At 47.5% G+C, this 25,477-nt stretch overlaps 1 protein-coding gene across 6 annotated transcripts in view, besides 1 other annotated feature; it reads left to right on the plus strand.

The window, feature by feature from the left end:
• PRKCA (protein kinase C alpha) overlaps positions 1–25,477 on the plus strand; it is a 508,131-nt gene that overhangs the window by 428,737 nt on the left and 53,917 nt on the right. For all 6 annotated transcript variants that reach the window (XM_047436388.1, NM_002737.3, XM_017024836.3 and 3 more), the window contains 5 exons: positions 1,339–1,476; positions 4,140–4,313; positions 7,415–7,506; positions 10,310–10,372; positions 11,273–11,411. In XM_047436388.1, coding sequence (XP_047292344.1) covers positions 1,339–1,476; positions 4,140–4,313; positions 7,415–7,506; positions 10,310–10,372; positions 11,273–11,411 — 606 coding nt within the window. The remainder of the gene's footprint in view (positions 1–1,338; positions 1,477–4,139; positions 4,314–7,414; positions 7,507–10,309; positions 10,373–11,272; positions 11,412–25,477) is intronic.
• Positions 16,141–16,641: an enhancer, noted in NCBI's record as "H3K4me1 hESC enhancer chr17:64743608-64744108 (GRCh37/hg19 assembly coordinates)". NCBI's record gives its function as "activates a minimal SCP1, AML or CMV promoter by ChIP-STARR-seq in naive H9 embryonic stem cells {active_cell/tissue: H9 hESC(naive)}" and the evidence as "EXISTENCE:reporter gene assay evidence [ECO:0000049][PMID:30033119]".

Genomic DNA, 25,477 nt, shown 5'->3' on the forward strand with positions numbered 1-25,477 from the left:
AGAAAAAAAAAAAAAAAAAAAGAATGTATCCAAGGCAAGAATCATTGCCCTAGGGCTCAGGGATGTGGCTGTGGAGGTCTAGCCAGGGACCAGGGTCCTGGACCTGTCAGCAGCTGACGCTTCTTACAACTAGCTCCTTCCCGTCAGGCAGATGTTCAAAATTCGGAGTCTTGTGCTGGGAGACTCAGCCCACTCCAGGCTTCTCCAGGGCTCCTTCGGTGACAGTGAGACTTCCCGTGGGTTTACTGACCTTCCTTTTTCTGCTGAGCCCTTTTACCTTTTGCCTTTGACATGGACTCTGAGGCCCTGGTGAGAGTCGTGAGGGCAGGGCCCCCTCTAGAGCTTCTAAAAACTCCTCTGGTAGCTCGCCCACCAGGCAGTGACCAGATATTCTTCAGGCGCAAAGGGCGCCTTGTGCTCCCTTTCTTTTTTTTTTTTTTTTTTTTTTTTTTTGAGACAGAGTCTTGCTCTGTCGCCAGGCTGGAGTGCAATGGCGCGATCTCAGCTCACTGCAACCTCCGCCCCCCGCCCCCCGGTTCAAGCGATTCTCCTGCCTCAGCCTCCCACGTAGCTGGGATTACAGGCACGCACCACCATGCCCAGCTGATTTTTGTATTTTTGGTAGAGACGGGGTTTCACCATGTTGGCCAGGCTGGTCTCAAACTCCAGACCTCAGGTGATCCACCCGCCTCGGCCTCCCAGAGTGCTGGGATCTCTTCTTATGCACATCACCATGTCTTTTTGTGAGTTCAACTCTTGATTTAAAAGAAAAAAAAAATCAAAAAAAAAAAAACAACCCAACCCCTGTTCTTACTGTGCATTTGAAAATAGCGATGAATCATCCCAATGGCTTTGCCATTTTAAGCAGTTCCTCTCCAGAGAACATTTTCCTCCCTTTTGGTGTGGGTACAAGTTTTCCTTTATGCAGATTAATTTTAAATTGGAAAATCTACAAATACAAAAAGCATCAGTACACAGTTTATTTCCTTTATTATGTTCATGGACCCGAAGCACTGTTTTTCCCAAGAAGTCGACTTTGACATACTGGAATTACAACCAACCAGCCCTTCACGGATCCCCACGCATCAATTCTAGGTTGACTGTGTAAAGAGTTGTCTCTTAATAGGGAGAGCAGTTTTCTGCTACCTTGCTGACTTTCCCTGTAGGGTGAGTGTAGCTGCTGATATCTGAACAGGTACTCAATTCTCACCCTTTGTTCCTTTTCTCACCCCATCCCACCTCCAAGCAAACATTAAACTCAGTTACAACACGGTGGTTTCTGTCACTCTTTCCCCAGAAAAATGACCCACGTGTTTCCCATTTGTGCTTGTTATTTAGAAAGCCAAACTTGGCCCTGCTGGCAACAAAGTCATCAGTCCCTCTGAAGACAGGAAACAACCTTCCAACAACCTTGACCGAGTGAAACTCACGGACTTCAATTTCCTCATGGTGTTGGGAAAGGGGAGTTTTGGAAAGGTAAGAGGACAGTCGTCTGCAAATTGCAGGGGCTTCTGCAGAGAATGTCGAATCAGTTTTGTTCTCCTCGTAGTTTGCAGAATAGCACATTAGATTTCCCTGTGATTCAAGGTCAGGAGATCAAGACCATCCTGGCTAACACGGTGAAGCCCCATCTCTACTAAAAATACAAAAAATTAGCTGGGCATGGTGGTGGGCGCCTGTAGTCCCAGCTACTTGGGAGGCTGAGGCAGGAGAATGGCGTGAACCTGGGAGGCGGAGCTTACAGTGAGCCGAGATCGCACCACTGCACTCCAGCCTGGGAGACAGTGAGACTCCGTCTCAAAAAAAAAAAAAAAAAAAGATTTCCCTGTGATTTGTACAGTCATCCAGAAGACCACCAGGATGGCTAAATGGTAGAAAGGAGAGGTTTATTGGTGGTATCAGTTTGCAAACCCATAAAAGAAAGTCTATGGTGTGAAATGAAGGTGCCCTCTCTTTGAGGAGAGAAAGGGCAGGTTGGGTTTTATGCCTCACAGGGTCCATGTTACACAGTAGAGTCATCCATATTCAACAGGTTTGGGGGGAAAGCTTGACTTATCTGTGAGGGAAGCCTAGCACAGGCACAATGGATGAACATATATGTAACATGCATCTTATGTTCACTTTGGGGTGGGGACTTAGCATTAAAATGAGGTGGAATTTGCCTAGGCATGGTGGCTCATGCCTGTAATCCCAGTACTTTGGGAGGCCAAGGCAGGTGGACCACTTGAGGTCAGGAGTTTGAGACCAGCCTGGCAAAAATGGTGAAACCCCATCTCTACTAAAAATACAAAAATTAGCTGGGTGTGGTGGTGTGCACCTGTGATCCCAGCTACTCGGGAAGCTGAGGCAGGAGAATCGCTGGAACCTGGGAGGTGGAGGTTGCAGTAAGCCAAGATCATGCCACTGCACTCCAGCCTGGGCAACAGAGGGAGACTCCGTCTCAAAAAAAGTAAATAAATAAAAAAAGGTGGAAGTTGGCTCTTTAGATCAAAAGGTGAACCACAGGACCCAAAAACAGTTTGTGTGCAGGCTCTGCAAGCTGCTGAAACTGGCTTCAGGTCTGCAGTTGCATCACAGAAAAGAATGTTTGTAAGGCCAGTTCTCTGTCCAGTCCAAGTCATAGTGATCTGAGTTGTCAATCAAAGTTAGGAGGGGCCTGATAGCTCCTACTGCTAGGGAGTTTAGCGAGAGTGGTTTATCTTGTAGCTGTAGGGATTTAGAAATTTGCCATGCCAGCTGGGCCCTGAACCCTCAACCCATAGATAACTATTTCCTTAACTTTAATGTTACCAGAAAGGGGTCCTGATCCAGACCCCAAGAGGAGGGTTCTTGGACCTCAAGCAAGAAAGAATTCAGAGCGAGTCCACAGAATAAAGTGAAAGTCAGTTTGTTAGAGAAGTAAAGAAATGAAAGAACAGCTACTCCATAGGCAGAGCAGCAGCATGGGCTGCTTGACTGAGTATACTTAGAGGTATTTCTTGATCGTATGCTAAACAAGGGTTTTATTATTCATGAGTTTTCTGGGAAAGGGGTGGGCAATTCCCAGAACTGAGGCTTCCTCCATCTTTTAGACTATATAAGGTAACTTCTGGGCATTGCCATGGCATTTGTAAACTGTTGGGGTGCTGGTGGGAGTGTCTTTTCACATGCTAATAATGCATATAATGAGCAATGAGGGTAGCCAGAGGTTATTCTCATCGCCATCTTGGATTTGGTGCGTTTTGGCTGGCTTCTTTACTGTATCCTGTTTTATCAGCAGGGTCTTTCTGACCTGTGTCTTGTGATACTAGCCCTGCTGACCTCCTATCTCATCCTGCGACTAAGAATGCCTGACCTCCTGGGAATGCGGCCCAGCAGATCTCAGCCTTATTTTTCCCATCCCTTATTCAAGATGGAGTCACTCTGGTTCAAATGCCTGCGACATTAGGGTCCATCTTAGTCGCTAAAGAGGCATTTATTTGGTCTCTCAGATCAGAGTGCACAGTCCTCACCTGGTTTCTACTTCCTTAAAAGCAACTGCATCCAAAAAGCTATAGTGGGTTCACTGTGTTGTTACTATTTCTCAGTGTTCAGAACAGAAGGGATGCTCAGAAATGCTGGTTGATGAATAGTTTTCACAACTAAAAATTAAATGTTCACTTGTAGTAAGCAAATACAATCATTAAGAGATACTGACATGGGGTCTTCAGCAATTTGCCTGTATCTCCATTCGGTTTCTGTGGCCCCACATTTCATAGACGCAGGAACTGATTTCAAGTCTAGGTTCTTGACTTGAGAGATTATAAATGTCAGTCAGCTTTCACTCTAAGGATACTCCTGAAAAATGTGCATTATTCCAGACTAATCCTGATAGAGAATGTTGAGTATTCATTTTAGCAGCCAAAATAGTGCCATTATGTGGCAGTGGCCTATACCATTTACAAATCTTGGCAGCATTGAAGTTTTGCAAATGCTGGAGGGACTGAATTTGTAGTGATGTGTAGAATTTACAAATTTGCACATAAAGTTTAATATTTTTATGTTCCACATTGACAAAGGTGCACAAACTGTCACTGAGCCGTCACCTGGCCTGGTTCCTTCCCTCTGCCCCCCAAGATATGTGCTTACAAGTGTTCAGGTTGTTCTTGACGTGTTCTCAGGTGATGCTTGCCGACAGGAAGGGCACAGAAGAACTGTATGCAATCAAAATCCTGAAGAAGGATGTGGTGATTCAGGATGATGACGTGGAGTGCACCATGGTAGAAAAGCGAGTCTTGGCCCTGCTTGACAAACCCCCGTTCTTGACGCAGCTGCACTCCTGCTTCCAGACAGTGGTAAGGACCCTGGGAATCCCTGCGATGCAGTACCCAGCTCTCAGAGCTACGCCTCAGCCCAAAGCTTCTTAGCATCCTTGTTCCTTTGGAGAAGGCTGGAGAAAGGTGTGTTGTGATGTCAAGCAGAGGTGACTGGGGACCACCTCCCACCTCTCTCACTGGTAGATTTGGGGCATGCCTTCTCTGTGATGTCCTCTGCTTGGCATTCATGCCATTTAATTCGGCAAACATTTCTTTTTCTTTTTCTTTCTTTCTTTCTTTTTTTTTTTTTTTTTTGAGACAGGATCTCACTCTCTCGCCCAGGCTAGAGTGCAGTGGCACAGTCACGGCCCACTGCAGTCTCAAGTAGTTGAGACCACAGATGTACCCCACCACACTCAGCTAATTTTTGTATTTTTAGTAGAGACGGGGGTTTCACCATGTTTCCCAGGCTGGTCTTAAACTCCTGAGCTCAAACGATCCCCCTACGTTGGCCTCCTAAAGTGCTGGGACTACAGGTGTGAGCCACTGTGCCTGGCCTTAATTCAGCAAACATTTCCATGAAAGGTTTTCTTCATGCCTGGTACTGTGCTCAGACTTTGGGATACAAAAACAAACAAACAAAAAAACTCACAGTCTTGGCTTTTTTTTTTTGAGACGGAGTCACTCTCTCTTCCCCAGGCTGGAGTGCAATGGTGCGATCTCTGCTCAATGCAACCTCCACCTCCCAGGCTCAAGGGATTCTCCTGCCTCAGCCTCTCGAGTAGCTGGGATTACAGGCCGCTGCCACCACGCCCGGCTAATTTTTGTATTTTTAGTAGAGATGGGGTTTCACCATGTTGGCCAGGCCGGTCTTGAACTTCTGACCTCAGGTGATCCACCCGCCTCGGCCTCCCAAAGTGCTGGGATTACAGGCATGAGCCACCGCACCTGGCCACAGTCTTGGCTTTTTAAGACCACTGGTTCCACTGCCAAACATGGCATTGGAGCATAAGGAGACTTGATTTTGTAAAAGAGCATGTTCTTGTTCAATGCCACACAACAGGGACTGGCAAACTGTGGCCTATTCTCTATGGCTTGTGAGTTTAGGAAAGGTCACAACAAGGAAATCCAAAGAGTCATATATCGTGACACGTGAAAATTAGGTCAAATTTTAAATTTCAGCATCCATAAACAGCTGTTTTGGGACATCACCACACTCCTTCGTGTACCTGTCATCTACAGCTGCTTTTGCACCATGAAGGCAGAGTTGAGTTGCTGCAAGAGACACTCACAGCCTAAAATATTAATACATACTGTCTGGCCCTTTGTGGAAAAAGTTTGCTGAGCTCTGTCGTAAAGTAAAACTAAACAGAGGACAAAAAAGGACATTCCAAAGCACTAATCAGTCCGTTGCAGGGCTTGCAAGTGGCCTACAAGAAACAGACATGGCCGGGCGCGGTGGCTCACGCCTGTAATCCCAGCACTGTGGGAGGCCAAGGCGGGCAGATCACGAGATCAGGAGATCGAGACCATCCTGGCTAACACGGTGAAACCCCGTCTCTACTAAATATACAAAAAAAAAAAAAAAAATTAGCCGGGCGTGGTGGCGGGCGCCTGTAGTCCCAGCTACTCGGGAGGCTGAGGCAGGAGAATGGCGTGAACCCGGGAGGTGGAGCTTGCAGTGAGCCGAGATGGCGCCACTGCACTCCAGCCTGGGCAACAGAGCAAGACTCTGTCTTAAAAAGAAAAAAAAGAAACATAGATGTTTAGATGCCACCATAGTGAGACGTTGCCAAAGCTGGTCTTTCCACTCCTCAGAGGCTGCCCATTTAAAATATGACTCCATAATCAGTAGCTGTAATTGATGCGATTATTACTATTTTCAACTGCCCATTGATCAGAGATTGACTTTCTGTCTTATGCCTCTTTGAAAACTCTTGGGAGGAACCTCTCAGTGCTTTTGTGTTTTAGAATCTCAAAATGGCTTTGCAGCCACCCGGAGCCTCTGGGTGTGTAGCAGTGGCCGCGGAGTCAGGCGCCGGCCACTACGTGTCAGCCTAGCGCTGGCGGCACGTTGAGCTTCCTGCTCCCAGCCGTTCCCACTGACTCTGAATCAAGTCACGCCAGGGAGAGATGAGAGCAGCATGCTCGGAAGAGACAACCACAGCTCTGAATCCCAGCCCAGAGCCTGTAACCCTGGTTACCCTGATTAAGCTCTGGAAAGCTACAAAACAAAGAAATGAAGATGAAATTAAAGTTCATAACAGGAAAGCTAGAGACTGGGGCTCCCAGGGTTGCTTCCTGGCTATTAGCACCAGCTTCATCATTTTTTTCTCCCTGTGCAGCACTTTAATGTTTAATATCCTCTGTGAAATGGGGATGTTTTCTAGCAGAGAGCAGAGGTCATTATTTCACTGTTAAACCCCTCCATCTTCCTATCTGTCCCAGCATAATGTCCTCAGGAATATGCAGATTTATTTGGGTCTATGATACATGCCCATCATGGGGCCAACACTTAGCCTACCAGTGACAGAGAAAATAGAAAAACAGTGTTTGGGCATATTACAGATGCAAAAGAACATTTGATTAGCATCTCCATCTAGAGTCCCCTGTCCCATGTCCAGTAAATATATTGAGCATGTGTAATCCTAAGCCTGAGAGATGTGTTTTCAGGAGTATCCATTTAAACACGATACTACATTAGTATGGCACGCCTCCCAGACACTGCAAACCAGCCTTTAAACATTTGGACCATGGAGAAGCACTAGTTAAAATGAAATAATTGCCTTATGTGGATTCCTCACACCATCCCTTACTTAGAAATTTATTATATGTATAGGAAGATAGGGAAGAATGTTCAAGGCCGTTACTATAATAGCATATGTAACAGGAAGGCACGTTGATGGAGAGCCATTATTTCAGGGTTATGTAATGACTTTATACTTCCCAAGGCCCTCATGCAGTAGGGTTTATTACTTATTCTTTCTTTGGAAAAAAATGTGAAAGAGCTCTAAACTGAGCACATCTGCCCATGCAGTCCCCATTTAACTAATGAGAAAGCAAAACACAACCTGTGAAGAGCAAAGGAAGCCACTTGGCTGGGGAGGAGCCCTGCTCATGTGTTGAACCTTGGTCTGCAGGATCGGCTGTACTTCGTCATGGAATATGTCAACGGTGGGGACCTCATGTACCACATTCAGCAAGTAGGAAAATTTAAGGAACCACAAGCAGTGTGAGTATTATTTTTTAAGTCCTTTAATTTGAACAACCAAGTCCTACCAACTGGAAACTTCCTTTTTTCCCCCCCGCTTGAGATTGGGGGTCTCACTCTGTCACTCAGGCTTTGCCTCCCAGGCTCGGGTGATTCTCCCACCTCAGCCTCCTGAGTAGCTGGGACTACAGGCACACACCACCATGCCTGGCTAATTTTCTGTTTTTGGTAGAGATGGGGTTTCACCATCTTGCCCAGGCTGGTCCCGAACTCCTGAGCTCAAGCTGTCTGCCCACCTCGGCCTCCCAAAGTGCGGGGATTACAGGCGTGAGTGAGCCACCATGCCCAGCCCCAACTGGGAACTTCTGCTGGGTGAAATGGGAAAGTGGGATTCTGCCCAGTTTTAGGTTGAATGTTATAAACCTAAACATGGGAGGCGGAGGGCAGATATACTGGTAGGATCCATCTAAGATGGTTCCTAAGGAGCAGTTTATTCTATTTCCAGTATTTCCAATAAACTGGAGATGTTGCCATATCCCATCATCACCCAGGTCCACCCTTGTTGATGGAGTTATTCTTATCTGTTGAACAAATGGTTATCACACACCTGCTCTGCACCAGGCACTGGGGTTGCGAAAGGAACGAGGTGCTCCCTTTCCAGAGGGAGTTTACACTCCACCCTGGAGGTGGAGAAGTCACCTAACAATTAATAGTGCGTTGCTGTAACTTTAGAGACTTGCGCAGGATACCAGGATAACACGTAAGCCCCTAAAAATCGGGGAGAGGGAAGTGCAACCCCACGAAATGACCGGCTCAGAGGTGGGGGAAGAGCCTTCCAGGAAGAGATGTGAACAGAGGCAGAAGCAAGTCCAGGGAAGCAGCCTTGCAGCTCAGCAGGTGTGGGAGATGCTGTGAGATTATTTGAGGGGCGGGGGAAGGGGGGAACGTGGTAGGTGGGGCTCTGGGTGAAGAGCCTGGTAAGGAGCCTGGCTGTGGAGGAGGGAAGAGGGAAGGCACTGCAGTGGGGCTTGCACCATCAGATTCAGTTTTTGCAGAGCTCTCTGGGGGAAGAAGGAAGCATGAAAGGAAATGGTAGAGGCTGGTGCAGGCGCTGGTGAGACCCTTTATAGATAAGAAGGAATGGAGCTGTAGTTAGGGCTAGACCTTGGAGCCAAAGAGGAATAAGTGTCTTTGAAAAACACCCTGGAGGAAGAAAAGCAGAACTTATTGACTATGGAGGAGAGAAGAGATAAACCTCTTCCAGTGAGACCCCATTTCAGGCTTGGGTCGGGGCAGCCACCAAGGAGGAGGTGGTTTGAGGGGGGAGATTCATGAGCTCAGTTAAGAACGTTTTATTGGAACGCACCTGCATGATGGGATGCGGGAGTCGGCAGCACAGGAGGAAGACGTGGGCTCCAGGTGAAGATGAGAGATTCATCTGAGGGGTGTGGGGAGCTGGAACTTTGGTGCTGGAAAACATCATCTCACCTCTCAGGGGCCAGGAAGTCTCAGGAAACACCAGTGGAGCAAGCCTAAACAAAGGGCGAGTTTAGTTCCGCAGTGAGGAAACCTCGGGGGCATGTACCCTGATGAATGAAGTCAGCACCTGTTAATAGGATTCTGGCTGCTGTGCCATCTAAGAGACACATTGGAAGAATTTTTGGCCTGCGAGGGATTATGCACCCTAGGGAAGATTAACTGAAGGCAGAATAGGGAAATCTTTGGTTGCAAGCTTTAAAAGTGTGAAGGGGGATTTTTCTGCCTTTATTGATTGTTCCTTTTCAGTTTTCAGAAATGCCTGTCCTTTTCTTCTGTCTTATGTTGTAGTTATAAAGCCTTAAAATACTCAGATTGTAAAATAAAGCTTGGTCACACAGGACTGTAAAGAGCAGATAGCAGAGTCACCCTATGTTATAAAGTAACATAAAGGTGTCTGGTCCAATATCCTTTCATTATATTATTTGTGTTGCAGAAAAGTTTAGAAAAGCATGAAAAATAATGTAAAGATCACCTGTAGTAATCCCATCTCTTCACCCTCCCCCTTTCTGTACTCTTCTAGCCTTCAGAGGTGGCCCCTCGTTAAGGGTTTGGTCTTGATCATTAGAGATTTTTTTTCCTCTCTGCTCGTGTAGACACGTGTGCTTATTTTGAGCCTCCTGCATGTGATATTTCCACAGGCACAGTCTTGTGGCTTCTTCGACTTCAAAGACTCCTGAATGCTATGCAGATTTTTAAATATTCGCCTCCTTTTAATCTGAGTTTCAGCTATTAATGTATTAACAATTTTGAAGTGATGGTAGTTACTGCTTTTTATTATGAATTATTTAAAAGAGTAAACTCAGATATGAATCTCTCCAACACTCGCAAGGAATGAAAACACTAGCTAAAGAGTTCATCACCCACTATACTTTGCCTTCCAGGGAGTAATTGTATTGTATTTTCAAACACCAGTGTATTCTGCCAGTGAATAGGAAAATGGAAATTTTCTTTACGCCATACTCCTGATATAGAATAGTCTAACTGGTATCCACTCTTTAAATGATTGTATGAGAAATTACTCTGCAGGCAATAAGCTACTTGTCCACCTTCCCCATAAGAGAATAAGAAGCCGGTTTCATTGGTTTTATTAGCTGTCTCATTCACGGATAAGCTGGAGGACGAAGTGATGGAGGGAGGACCGGGGGTTGGAAGAACACGATGCTGGTCTCTGAGAGCCTCTGGGTCTGACATTCTTTTCTCTCTTTGATGCTTGAATTTGAGAATGTAAAGTATACAGGCATCTAAGGAAGCAAGTGAGAAACCTGAAGCCCGTTTTCTTTTGCAGATTCTATGCGGCAGAGATTTCCATCGGATTGTTCTTTCTTCATAAAAGAGGAATCATTTATAGGTGTGTATTGAAGCCCTCCTACCAGCAGCTCAGCAGAGAGGTTAGCTGGGCCTCTGTGGGCATGTCATTCTGGAATGGTGACTTAAGACACAGAGTTGATAACTCCCCAGGAGGAACAGAGACCTGCTGGGACCCACCTTCCTCCTCACCCTGGAGGCAAATCAGAGCCACCTTCTGATTTCTAGACCGCAAAGACTTTATATCTTGTTTCTACTTTTTCCACAAGAAAACACATTTTTCTCTCCATTGACAGCTCCTTCCACTGCCTTTTCTTTGGAATGGAGGTCAGGGAGCAATGGAAACTGAATTCCTGTTATAGATGTTCAGCAGAAGAAGAACACAGGGAACTGGGGAGAGGCAAGGAAAAAAATCTATTGAATTAAATTCTGCCTGTTAGTAGCTGTGCTGAAAGTCTGGTGCCAAAGAAGGAAGAATTTCTTCCAGTATTAATTGAAGCATAATTAGAAGGATATATGGCACAGGCAGAATGGAAGGGACATGTGTATGACCCAGTGAAGTGGTTCTAAACCCGTGATTTTGCAAACCTGGTCATGTGTCAGACCCCCTGTGTGGGACATGAATAAATCAAATGATTGAGACTTTCCCAGACGTGCTCAATTGGAATCTCTAGAGTCACAGACATAGGCAAGATTGAGAATCACTAGTCCAGTCGTTTAGTAATCCATTCAGTATGCATTTAAGCACCTGCTGTAGCCTAGGCACAATATTAGTCTCTGAAGATATCAACACACATTGACTTCTGATACTACAGTCCAGGGACTTATAGTTAATATTGCCATTGAGCTGACAGGTATTCAGATATCCTTCTATTTCACCAGTTCCAAAGCAAACCATGTTATGTCATGGGAAGGACTCTGATGTTAACCCGGTTCCTTGCAGGGATCTGAAGTTAGATAACGTCATGTTGGATTCAGAAGGACATATCAAAATTGCTGACTTTGGGATGTGCAAGGAACACATGATGGATGGAGTCACGACCAGGACCTTCTGTGGGACTCCAGATTATATCGCCCCAGAGGTAGGAACCCCAGTGATCGTTTTCTCAACCAGGACTCCCAAACTGTAAACGCAGCCCTCTCATGGGTTATAGGGTCACTGGCGAATCATGAAGTCAGTGCATGGTCACAGCCACTAAATGGACTAAACTGGACAAAACAGACTAAAATAGAGGAAATAGGAGAGCCCATTGCACATAGTAAGGTTGTGTCTTGCTTCCTGGAACTGTTGTTTGCTCCATGTGAGCCAGTTGCTTGGGAAAATGTATTTGTTACATGGTCATGGTCAAAATCATTTAAGAAACACTGTTGGCTGGGCGCGGTGGCTCACGCCTGTAATCCCAGCACTTTGGGAGCCCGAGGTGGGTGGATCATAAGGTCAGGAGTTCAAGACCAGCCTGGCCAACGTGGTGAAACCCCATCTCTACTAAAAATACAAAAAGCCAGGGATGGTGGTGCACACCTGTAATACCTAGCTACTCAGGAGGCTGAGGCAGGAGAATCTCTTGAACCCAGGAGGCAGAGGTTGCAGTGAGCTGAGATCATGCCATTGCACTCCAGCCTGGGTGACAGCAAGACTCTGTCCCCCCAAAAAAAGAAATACTGTTGAGTGGAGGGAATTACTTGTGAAAATACTCTGCCTGGAAGGCGGGGTGAGACGGGGGTTGCAGTGATGGTGTATTAGCAGCATCGCGGTGATGACTGTTCTAAACTGCATGTTGTCTGGTCTAGGAAGAATGTGTCAGTGTGGTTCTAAGCAAAATGGTTCCAGGACTTGTATCTTGACAGCAGCGGCTGTGCTGCTCTGCTTTTGTTATAACACTTACAGAGGATTTTTTTTCCTGTTTTATGAAACATCCCACATGCCAATGATAGAATGGGTTGTCACTGTAGTCACTGTAGAGCCAACTTTCCATCCACACACAGTCCTATGGATGCCACAGTTTTTTCCCATCTGTACCCAGCATGGTGGAGACCAATGGATCCAAAGCTGAGCTGGCTTCAGCTCTTCACAGAGCCCTCAGATGAGCTGTTGGCAGCCGGTCTCACATTTATTCAACAGATTACCCCATGCATTTATCTCAGAGACAGTAGGGATAGTGAAAAAGGCACCCACAAGCTCAGAAGTCAGACCCATGTGAGCTTCAATCTGGAATCTGTTATTTACAGACTGTGGGAACTCGGGTGAGTTACTTAACGTCTCTGAACCCCGTTTCTTCAGCGGCACCTTAGGGATAATATCCTCCTTGTAGAATTGCTGTGTGGACTGAAGTGCCTAATACAACATTTTGCATCTAGTAGACCCTCCATAGTCATTATTCCAAAAGGGAAGCTGCTTTTTATTCCTTTGTGAAGACCTTGTAGTTTTATGATATTTCAAGACAGCGTGGACACATAGACTTCATTTAGAAACTTAAATTCTGAATCGCATGGCCAGAGGTGATATGTGATCTTGCTGCATAACTTACTGGGATTTTCCCCCAAAAGAACTCCCTCATTAGTACCTACAGACATGAGGTGAAATTAAATAGTCTTATTTTTCAAATATGAGGAATAGTCAGGGTACTGTCAGAAATACAATCTCTTGATGTAGTATTTATTCTGAAGCCTGTTACTAAATGACAGGTATTAAGCAGGCTGTGATTATGAGCCATTCAGCCTTCATTGAACAATTCAGCAGATGATGTAAAAGCTTAGTGATGGGGAATGGCAGCTTTTTTAGGAATAAAGGTGGCATTGAACCTCATCTCTATTAAGACCAGGTCTCTCCTGTTCCGACAAATAGCTCCTTGTGTTCAGTAACACCTCAGCTATCTAATAACACCAGGAACAACAGTGTCCAGTAGAGACAAAATTTTCCATATCATTAAGGTTTGTCCATTTGAGTGTCTTGTCTTTTTTTGTTGTTGCGGTTCGGTATCATTCACGGTATGAGTTCCTGTTGCCACTGTAACAGATAACCACAAACTCAGCAGTTTAAAATAACTCAGATTTATTATCATGTGGTTCCGGAGATCAGAAGTCCAAAATCAGCCTCACTGGACTAAAGTCAAGCTGTGGGCAGGGCTGGTTTCTTCTGGAAGCTTTAGGGGAGAACCTGTTGCCATCCATGCCTTTTCCAACATCAAGAGGCCACCACCTGCATTCCTTGGTTCGTGGTGTCTTCTTCCCTCCCCCATGCAACGTAGCATCTTCCAATCTCTCTGTCTTTTCCAACTACAACCCTCCAGCCTCCCTCTTCTCCTACAAGGATCTTTGGGATTATATGGGGCCCACTTGGATAATCCAGGATCATCTCCCTAGCTCAAGATCCTTAATTTGCCTCTGCAAAATCCTTTTTAATGCATAAAGGTAATAGATTCACAGGTTCCAGGGATAAGGATGTGGACATCTGTTGGGGAGAGGGGACTTAGTCTATCACACTTGTTATATGTTGGAGAACCTCCTCACTGTCCTCAACAGGGACACCTAAACACACTTCTGTCATGTCTTGGTAACTTCGGGCCTCTTCATACACAGAGAATACTCTGTTCTTGCTCTAGATACTTTCACATCTGAAGCCTTCATTCCCCTCCTTACATCTACTGTACAAGCAATAATAGAGGAAGTGACCACCTTCTATTGTCTACCGTGTGCCAGGCACATGATAAACTTTCTCTTGGCTGGGCACAGTGGCTCACTCCTACAATCCCAGTGCTTTGGGAGGCCAAGGCAGGTGGATCAATTGAGGTGGAAGTTCAAGACCAGCCTGGCCAACATAGTGAAACCCCATCTCTACTAAAAAATACAAAAATTAGCCGGGTGTGGTGGCAGGTGCCTGTAATCCCAGCTGCTCAGGATGCTGAGGCAGGAGAATCGCTTGAACCTGGGAGGCAGAGATTGCAGTGAGCTAAGATCGTGCCACTGCACTCCAGCCTGGGCAACGGAGTGAGACACCGTCTCAAAAATAAATAAATAAATAAATACAATAAACCTTCTCTCATTTAATCCTCATGACAAGCCCCACAGGGAGGTAGCATCAGATCTGTGTTTCAGATGAAGTGACAGAGGTGGTTAGTAACGTGTCTAAGGCCACGTTACTGAGAAATGCCAGAATTAGGCTTTGATCCCAAGCCCAGGTCACCTCCAAACCTTTGCACTGCTCACTACACTAAACTGCTCGAAACTTGAGCGACTCACGTATCCAGACAGCACTCTGCGTGCTTACTGTGCTTAAGCATGGTGCCACGAGGGATACAAAAAGACATCAGATGGCCCTTGCCCTCCAAGTGCTTTCAGTTTATAAGAAGTGACATCATACTGACCAGCAGGAATGAAAATCTATATGTGGATTCCAGTCAGCTTTCGTTGAAAACATCAGGCACCACTGCTTTGGAAAATCACCTTAAGGTTGTTTCACCTTTTTTGTTGCCTTGCTTTTTTTTTTTTTTTTTTTTTTTTTTTGAGACAGAGCCTCACTCTGTTGCCCAGGCTGGAGTGCCACAGCTCACTGCAGCCTCAACTTCCTGGGCTCAGGGGATCCTCCTGCCTCAGTCCATAGGTTGCTGGTAGTACAGGTGTGTGCCACCACCTGTGCCTAGCCTGTTCCAGCTTTTGCTAGCATTTTTTCCTCATAAGTGTTCAGTAATTTGGCATATTTGGCCACACGAATACTTACAGTATAGAGAAAGATCAGATAGGTTCAAGGTTTCAAAATGTGTGGAAAGGTTAAAATAATATTTCGTGTGGAAAATTCAAAATGTGTGGAAAGGTTAAAATAGTATTTGTCCTCTGTGCAAATACTCCTGTCAGGCAGAGACAAAATCATTATCTTGCATGGCATTCTCCTTAATAGGCAAAGCGGAGGCTTAAGTATTTATGGCTATTTGTTCAAAAACCTTGAAATCGATTAATACCTTAGCGTCTCCTTAGGCAGCGAAGCCGAGCTGAGGCAAAAAATGTCACTAACAGATGAGAGTTTGAAGTTGAAATGGACACCCACAGAAGGAGCACTCATCAGAAAATGATTCCTAAAGCTGACACAGAGGGTCCTCTTTGCTTTGACATAGAAAGAATTCTTCAAGGTCAATGAGAGTCCTTGAGCAGGCCAAGCAAAGGCTTCATTTGGATTTAATCCATCTCTGAAACTTAGTTATTCTGGGCGTGTGTGATCCAGTCACAAGTCAAGTAGATTCCAGCAGCCAAGAATCAGGCTCCAGACACTAGCATTGCGCACTCTTGCCTGGAAGAAAGAGAAGCAGGAAGAGTGTCTGCTTCTGGCCTGTGTCCCGAGAACCCCCTACTGCAGTGAGAGCAAAGCTTTTCATTTTATTTATTTTATATAATTTTGTTCTAAGAACTTTATTTTTTTAAAGACAGAGTTTCGCTCTGTCGTCCAGGCTGGAGTGCAGTAGCAATCATAGCTCCATGCAGTCTCAATCTCCTGGGCTCAAGTGATCCTTCCACCTCAACCTCTTGGGTAACTGGGACTACAGGCATGTGCCACCACGCCTGCTAATTTTAAAAAAATTTTGTAGGGATGGGGGTCTCGCTGTGTTGCCCAGACTGGACTCAATTTCCTGGGCTCAGGCAGTCCTCCTGCCTTGGCCTCCCAAAGCACTAGAATTACAGGCCTGAGCCACTGTGCCCGGCCCTGAAGTGAAGCTTTTTCAAGTGTGCCATGTAGAGTCTTCCTCACAGCATCGCTATGGCGGGGGCTACGTTAGACCACACACAAAGGACATCACCCGTGATACACTGACTTCTCTGCACCAACCTCCCTGAGCACTTCTGACTTGCCACATGTTAGTATGAGTAGAAGTTCAGTGACTTGCCCAAGGTCACATAGCTGGTAAGAGCAAAGGTGGGATTTGGATCCGAGATGTTCTGACCGGAGCCCGTACGTTCTTTTTACCTATTGCATTGTCTCCATAGATATGGGAGAAAAAGCAGGTGAAAGTGAGCACTCAGTTTGGGCCACGTTTTCTTGGCCACTCACTTATCTCAACGTGAATCAGGGACCTGAGTCATGATCAGAGATGCAGTGAATGACGCAGAATTGCATTCCAGCTGTTATCCCCAGGGAGATCCCTTAGAAACCAAGGGTGATCCAGCCACACGCAAGCCCCTCCCCAGCACGTGGGCATCGATCTGTTGGCATATTCAGGGTGCCCCCCGAGTGCTGGGCACTGTTCCAGGCCGGGGGGTGCCGGGCCAGAAAGAGGAGCCCAGAGGAGAGCTGGGAGGAGGGCCTTGGGGCTGGAGGCAGCTGGAAATCAGTGACTGCAGCCCAGGAGGACTGTGGATTTTGAGAGGTGGACAGGGCAGTATTCTCAGCAGTAACAGATGGTGCATCCAACACGGTTGAAATTTCCAGGGAAGAAGCTTGCAGACGTGGTTGCCTGACCTGCAGCCAGCTGCCTATCAGCAGATGGGCATACTCCTGGGAGGACTGGGGGCTTCATGGGTCCAGAGAGCTGAAGAGCCATTCTGGGGTCACAGCTTCTGCGTTCCCGCCCTACAGGAATGCCAGCCCACTGATGCCTGGGACAGCAGCCAGATTCCTGTATTTTTATGTAAAATACACCTAATTGTTCCAAGTTGGCCCTAACATATGTTTTTTAACATGTGTATACAAGTGAAATTCAGCCAATGGGCTATCACCTATGACCTGTCTTCTTGAGGTCAAGAGTCCTATTAATATTTGGGGGGAGCATATTAAAGATGGGAGGAATAAAGACCAAAGGATGTCCATAGAGGTGGAAGCACTAGACAGCCGTCTCGTTCTTGGACCCCAAGGAGGGCAAATGTTCATGAAGTCAGGGTGGCCAGGGACTGAGGAGGTCCAGCAGACGGGAGTGGGATGGGCAGAAGATCTAGCCACTGGGACTTGATGATCCCTGAGAGAGCAGTGTTGGTAATGATGCCGGGATGGGGTGAGCGTGAGCATCAGCAGCGCAGCAGGAGGACCTTCCTTTGAGGACATCTATGGTAAATGGAAGGAAAGAAAGTGGACAGTCACTCCCAGGAAGGCAGGCTGAAGGAAGCATCATTTACGTGGCAGAAACTTGAGCCAAAGTTTCTAAGCCAAAGGGGAAATGCCGGAGAGAGAGAGGGAGGGCGGGAAGGAGGGAGGGAGAAAGAAGGAATGGGGCACCCGTGGTAAGGATGCCCTTCCCTCTCAGCTTCAGGAGGAAGGGGAGGGGCACACAGGAGACCTCACGGTGGCAGGAAAGCTGAAACCCCCTCCCTGGCCAGTCTGCATCTTCAGAGGGTGACACCAGGACGGGCGGGTATTAGGTATCTTGGCTCTGAATTGGAACCCCCTCCCTGGCCAGTCTGCATCTTCAGAGGGTGACACCAGGACAGGCGGGTATTAGGTATCTTGGCTCTGAATTGGAACCCCCTCCCTGGCCAGTCTGCATCTTCAGAGGGTGACACCAGGACGGGCGGGTATTAGGTATCTTGGCTCTGAATTGGGTATCTTGGAGAAGCCAAAGCCTTCACAGGGGCCCCAAGACCCTTTAGCACCTGCCTCCCCGCCCCATTCCCTCCCTGACCTCCTCCCCCTGCCCTCCACCCCTCCGGAGCTCTCTAGACCCATTGCACTAGCTCCCTTTCCACTCTCCAATTTGCCAGACCTCTCCATCCTCAGGCCAGTTCCTCTTCTTTTTCCTTCCACCCAGCATGTCCCACCCCAGGCATCTGCTCAGAGATCACCTTGGGGAGGCCCCCTGCCCTGGTGACCCTATTTGAACCTGCAAACCTCCAGTCCCATCCAGGACTGCTGACTCCTGTCCCTGCTGTTTTTCATGGCACTCATCCCCCTTGGAGGGACAAAGATGTACTCCTGAACTGATTTTTCAGTCTATCTCACCAAGCTCCACCACGGGCAGAATTTCATCTGGTGTTGGCTGCTGTGCCCCTACCCCAGGGTCTGGAGCCGTGCCTGGCACTCAGTGTGTACTTGGCATGGGTGCCTGCACGCTGCGCTCCTGGATGTGGCCACCTAGGAATCTGCAGGGGAGACACCGCAGGAGGACAGAGATGAAGCCTTGGAGACTGAGAGGGGTGGAACTCTTTAGCCAGGTGATTGGAAGGGTGACTTCCAAGGCCATCACAGGTGTTGGGCTGATGGTATGTGACAGTGCAGAGAAGGGCCACACCACCTCATGTCATCGGCTGAAGAGATCCAGCAGGTTGGGGGACCTGAGTGAAGGTCAATGGGACATCATCCCAGGTCCCCCAGACAGCCCCAGCTGACCCCAGAGACTTCTCCTGGCCTCTGGGGAAAGGATTGTAGAGAGGGATAGAAAATAAGAGTATCTAAAGGTTCAAAGAGAAAATAACTCATGTGGTATATACATGCAGCCGGGCAGTCAGGCAGTAAATTAGCACTCACCACCAAGAAGAAAGGGGGAGAATGAGATACAGGGAGAGAAAAGCCAATCAGCACCAGCAATGGCTCCTCTGAGATCAGCCGCTTCTGAACCATGGGCCCCGCACCAGCCCAGCATGGGCAGGAGCAAAGAAAAGCACTTGATGAAAGAAACAGAATGATAAACCAAAGGGCGGCTTTCTTTCTATCAAAGGCCAATTTCCCTCTATGGAGGGTCATGGTCCAGTGACTCCAGCGTTGCAAGAGAGAAAATGAAGCCGCCGCTTTCCCTCAAAGAAATATTTAAAGAGCCAAAGCCAGGCTTTCCTTTGGGGTCTTCTTTAAGTTGTGCGATTCTCAGATCTTTTCTAGGAATTATGTTGGTTTTATTATCTCATATATTGTATTGTCTGCCTGCAGCTCTTTAACTGTCTCATAATTCTCCCCGCCTTGGAGTTTAATCAGTTTAGCCTCTTCTCTAGAGCACTGGGCACCTTCTGCGATATTGTGGTCTATGAAACAAATGTGGCCCGCTCCTTTCTTCTGAGCCTCCCCACTTCCAATCCTCCCTCCAGAAGTAACCAGCTCCTGGTGGATTCGCTGCCCCTTCGCAAATGCCTGCTACATCCCAGACCAGGGCTGAGCACCTTGTTTATTTTGTTTAATCCTAAGTCAATTCTAATTCCTGGATGGTGAAACTGAGGCACAGAGATTTGTTAATTTTCCCCACCTCCCCAGTTCAATGCAGACTTGGTTTTGAACACAGGACTGAGCAGCTTTTCCCTGCGGTGACTGTTACCCTGGGAGGAAGGGCCTGCAGACATCAGCTCCAATGCTACCCAAGCAACATGTCACTCCACATGTGCCAGTAAGCTGCTCTCACAGGCCTGTTATTGGCTTTCAGAGCTCAGATAATGCTCTGTTAGATTTTTACTCCTGGTATTTGGTGGCATGCTTTAATTAGCCCTTTATTTAGGGATTTGCTTAAATCCTGTAAAAGTGGGTCAGAGATTTCTGAGCTTATTTCGCCTCTTTCTTTGTAACATTGCCCAGGCGATGGCAGGATGGAGGTGGGTATCATGAGAGATTACTAACATTTGTTCATTTCTTGCTATGCGCCACGCACTTAACGCCTGTTATCACATTTAATTCTTACAATAGCCCTCTAAGGTAAGTGGTATTATTCATGCTTTACAAACACTGTAAAGGAGACTTGGAGAGGAGACGGGACCTGCTCAGGGCTCACAGATGGCACATGGCAGGGGCAGAATGCTGGCCCGCCAGCCTCAGAGCACAGGCTGGCGCCCTGATGCCATCCACGGCCAGTTGCCACCTCAGTGTATCACTTATTGCCCTGTCTCCAAATCATATCTGTAGAGATCCACTAGACTTTGAGACTTCTTGGTTCTGGAAAATCTTTTAATCCAGCTAATAAAGCTCTTACGACACAAGTTATTCCTAACTCACACTTCATTCCTTTACCATACAAGCAGTTATTTTGTTCTGATGCATAATTAACATTTTGCACAGCTTCTCTGCTGACCCCAGAGGAGGCCTGAGATGAGCAGGGTCCTATAGGTGGGTGCTGAGCTGGGACTCCTGCCCAGCTTTTCCCTAGCACCTCCTATGCCCCTGCCACCCTCAGAGGGAGAGACCAGGGACAAGGGCTGCTGCTTCCTTCCTCCCAGGAAGCATGGCTAGGGGGGGTCTCAGGAAACTTACAATCATGGCGGAAGGGGAAGCAGGCACATCTTCCATAGCCAGAGCAAGAGAGAGAGCAGGGAGGTGCTACACACTTTCAAACAACCAGATCTCATGAGAACTCTGCCACGAGAATAGCACTAGGCGGATGATGCTAAACCATTCATGAGAAACTGCTCCCATGAGCCAGTCACCTCCCACCAGGCCCCACCTCCAGCACTGGGGATTACATTTCAACATGAAATGTGGGTAGGGACACAGATCCAAACTGTATTATAAACTCTGGCTACAGTACTGCTATTTTAAGAACTTGGGGTGACATCTGTATAATAGGGTATAATCACAGCATCTTCCTGAAAGCCCAACTTTGAGGGCTCAGTGAGTCTGGCCATAATGACTTAGCCTGCCTCAGAGGGAGCACTCCGGAAAGCCTTGTCCATTATTTGGCAGTTGTTTCAATTATCTATTGATGTGTAATCGCCCCAGAACATAATGGCTTAAAACAATAATCACGTTGGGCTGGGCGTGGTGGCTCACACGCGTAATCCCAGCACTTTGGGAGGCCGGGGTGGGAGGATCACCTGAGGCCAGGAGTTCGAGACCAGCCTGGCCAACATGGTGAAACCCCATCTCCACTAAAAATACAAAAAATTAGCTGGGTGTGGTGGTGGGCACCTGTGTAGTCCCAGCTACTCAGGAGGTTGAGGCAGGAGGGTCACTTGAACCTGGGAGGTGGGGGCTGTGGTGAGCCAAGATCATGCCAGTGCTCTCCAGCCTGGGCAACAGCAAGACTCTGTCACCAAATAAATAAAGTTAATGCTGCGATTCTTGGAGCCAGGGCCTCCATCAGGACCCGGCAGGTGGACTCCTTGCTGCTGCAGGGACATCCCTACCATGGCTCTGCTGGGGCTGGAGGGCCCAAGGTATCTTCCAGCTATTGGCCAACGCCACATGGGTTCTCCTCTACCTGGTCCTTCTTTCCATGCAGCCACTTGTCACTGAGCTTCTTGACATGGTGCTGGCTACTAAAAGGCCAAAAACAGAAGCCACAGGCTGCTGAAGTCTATACCTGGAACTGAACTGTGTTACTTCCAACACGTTCTGCAGGTCAAAGACAGTGAGGACCAGGCAAGAGGGCCCCTGCCTTGTGTTTTAGAGCAGAGCTGAGCAAACTTTCTCTGCCAGGGACTAGATAAAAAATAGGCTTTTCCTAAATCTTAATTTTAGATTTTTACCAAGAGGCAAAATTGAGCAACTGTTCTTGCCAAAATCATTTTACATTTAAAAATGTAAAAAGCATGCTTAGCTCACAGGCTGTACAAAAACTGGATTTGGCCTACAGGCTATGGTTTGTTAAGCCCTACCTTAGTGGGCTCTCCTCTCCCCACCAGTCCCCAGGCTGGGCTCTCCTTATAGGGTTAGAGTCTGCAGGGCCAATGCCCACTCACAGCCTGCTCTCCGACCCCTTTTAGACAACAACCTGGGTACTCAGAGCCTGGAATTCCCTTCCAGGGCCTCTTGCCAAGATCCATCCTTCCTGTGAACACCGCCCTGCTGGCGTATGCACTCCTGTGGCCAGTGGAGGAGTCAGTGGATGGCTGTTTTCAGGGGCAGTGGGACGCAGTTAGACATGCAGGTTGGGGTGCTATGATGGAAAGGGCCTGGGAAGAGAAGTGGGGTGGCCCATGTCAATAGTACATTCTTAGGCCTCCACATACTGGAGTGGAATCTCAGGGGTCCATGAATTCTTAAGTCAAACTTGTCCTTCCAGGTTCTTGGGAAATGTAAAGGACTGAATTGCATCCCCACGCCCCCACCCCACAAATCCGTGTGCTAAAGCCCTAATCTCCAGTGTGACTGTTCTGTAGAGATAAGGCCTTGAAGAAGGTAATTAGGGGAGAATGAACTCATCAAGGTGGCGCTCTGATCTGATAGGATTAGTGTTCTTACGGGGAGGGGAAGAGGCCACAGGAGGGTGCATATGGAATAAAAGCCACGTCAGGACACAGCGAGAAGGAGGCAGCCAGCACGGCACCAAGAGAGGCCTCACCAGAAGCCCACCTGCTGGCACCTTCATCCTGGACTTCCAGCCTCCAGACCCAAGAGAAATTTCTGTTGTTTAAGCCACCCAGTCTGTGGTGTTTTATAAGGGTAGCTCAAGCCAACCAATACAGGAAGGTACTTGTGTCAAGGGGTGGGAAAGAGCATACTGTATTTAACCGTCTGTTGGCTTGATTTGTAATACTCCTATTTAGATAAAGGCTGTGTGAGTCTTAGTTATTCTTGTCCCGGCTCCCTCACCCCACATGTTAGAGATGGCCTCATCCTAGGTCAATAGGGAGTTGTGGGTTAGGGCCAAGTAGATTATGTTATAAAGCGAGATGTATTTTATATATTCATATCTTTTTTCATATATATGTTCATATATATATGTATGTGTATGTATTCATACAATCAACATCGTTGTCACTCTTATCAAGCAGAACAGGAAGGAGGAATAAAGGCCCCAGAGGGCAGGGGCACCATCTCAGATGTCTTTGTCCCATTCACAGCTCCTTCTTACACAGAGCGGGCACCATGTGCGACAGTAAAGCAAGAGCCAGGATGAATCCTGGCCCCATCTGCCACCTCCCCACTGTGCGTGTGACTCTGGTCACCTCACTTGAGCTTGCTGTGCCTCGACTTCTCCAGTGGTAAACGAGGGTACGACCTAGCACGGTGCTGGCTTAAAGACTGTGCTCAGGGGTGGCTCTGATTCACATTTGATTTATAGTCAATATTACATTCTTAGTGCATCTCACCATTAAGGAGGTTCCTGAAAAACTCGGTGGGGGAAAAGAGAGGATCTGAAGAGGTGTTTGATTTCTTTGACGTAACAAGAAATTAAAGAAGTTTGCTGGGCATGGCGCTGGAGAGGTCCGGTGGGCCAAGTCGATTAGATGATGTGGGGTGGGCCATGTCAATATTACATTCTTAGGCCTCCACATACTGGAGTGGAATCTCAGGGGTCCATGAATTCTTAAGTCAAACTTGGCCTTCCAGGTCCTTGGGAAATGCTAAGGACGGAATTGCACCTGTCAGATCAGGGCCCCACCTTGATGAGTTCATTCTCCCCTAATTACCTCCCTCAAGGCCTTACCTCTACAGAACAGTCACACTGGGGGTTAGGGCTTCAGCACACGGATTTGGCGGCGGGGGATGCAATTCCAAGGTCGGGTGACCCAACTCAATTAGATAATGTTTTTCTAGACCCAGTCGCTCCACAGTCACCTTCCCGATTTCTGCCAGGATCAGCTAGCCTTACCGAAGAGCTAAAAAGAGATTCATCCCAAACAAGAGCTTCCTTGGAAGCATTCCATGAAGACTTGAAACGGTGCTGCCTCCCACCACCTGACCCAGTATTGTCAGTGCCTCCTCTGAGGATCGCAGAAAATCGCACCCCACGCCCCCCCAGTGCACATTCCAGACTTGGAGAAGCGCGGCATGGGGTGGCGGTGGGGAGAACACCTTTCTGCCAGATCAAAAGCCCAGCACTTTATTCAGAGTTTTATTTATGGCTCCTTCAGAAGGTTAGTCCAGTCACGCCTCCTTAATAACCGCCTCATCACACATGATTCAGGTGTCCTGGGGCCACTTCACGCTCCTGGCTTCCTGGCCCAAAGCCCAGGAGACCGCTGAACCCCACTGCCTGGCATTATTTGCGGGCGAGACACCACTGGTGAAGTGTTTGTCTTTTCTTATGGCTTATTTTATTGAAGGTTGTTCTTTTAGTCAAACACCTTTTCAGTTCTTTGTGTTTGCTGAGCACCCAGGGCTGTCTCACCCAGCCTTGAATTGTTTCCAGGCACCTTGCAAGCCAGTATTGTACAGTTCTTTTCTGCACAGAAAAAGTACAGACTTCTGGTTTCCAGTCCAGCATGTTAGGAGCTTAGACGTCATCGTTCCATCCTGACAAGTGAAAAGCTGGACTGGAAAATCAACAATTCTTCCTAGAGCCATTGGCGCCTCCCACGTGGGAGACCTGGGTTCATTTCCTGACCAGTGCACCAGCATTGGTGGTTGAGTGGTAGAATTCTCGCCTCCCTAGAGCCATTGGAAAAATGAGGTAACAGGGCAAACCACTGTCCCCAAAATTAGACAGACAGGCAGATACAGATAATTACAACTTACCAGAACAGAAACCTCCCTGGCTACTAGTGCTGGGGTGCAAAAACCTGATCCGTAATCGGCAAATTGCTGGAGGCTAAGTGTGGACAAGTCTGAGAATCAGTCACGGGGGCTCCACGCGTTTTGGAGTTTTCCCTCAGGAAGCGCTGCCGGGTCCTCACAGTGAATGCTGGAGAAAAATCGCCTCATGCTTCTGGCAGGGAGAGGAGAAAAGTAATAACCATTGTGAAATATGCCAGAGCATCCCGTTCTTCTTAACAAGGGCTTCCCTCAGGAGACGCTAATGTGAGCTTAATCTCCTGGGGTTTTATCAGACCCTAACCTACCTAGAAGAAGGGACATCCCCGATTCCAATCCCTTCCACCCATCCTCTCCCACCCAAGAGGAGAGGGGGGAGACCAAGAAGCACTTGTGAAGGTCACAATCCACAGGCACAGGCTCCCCACAAGACAGAGACCTCATCGTCGGACCGTAGCACACTTCCCCTCTCCACACCTCACCACCACATCACTAAAGGTTCATGTACTACAGTTCCTTTCACCCAGTGTGCCATGTCCAGCCCTCAAGAAAACAATTACAGCACACTAAATGGCAAAAAAAAAAGAAAGCAATTTGAAGAGATGAAGCAAGCATCAGATGCAGACTCAAATGTGGCAAGGATGTTGGAATGATAACCAGGAGTTTTGTTTTTTGGTTTTTGGGTTTTTTTTTGTTTTGGAGATGGAGTCTTGCTCTGTCACCCAGGCTGGAGTCCAGTAGCATGATCTCAGCTCACTGCAACCTCCGCCTCCTGGGTTCAAGCGAGTCTCCGGCCTCAGCTTCCCAAGTAGCTGGGATTACAGGCATGAGCCACCATGCCCAGCT

Source organism: Homo sapiens, chromosome 17 (assembly GCF_000001405.40).
Source record: "Homo sapiens chromosome 17, GRCh38.p14 Primary Assembly".
NCBI classification, from domain to species: domain Eukaryota; kingdom Metazoa; phylum Chordata; class Mammalia; order Primates; family Hominidae; genus Homo; species Homo sapiens.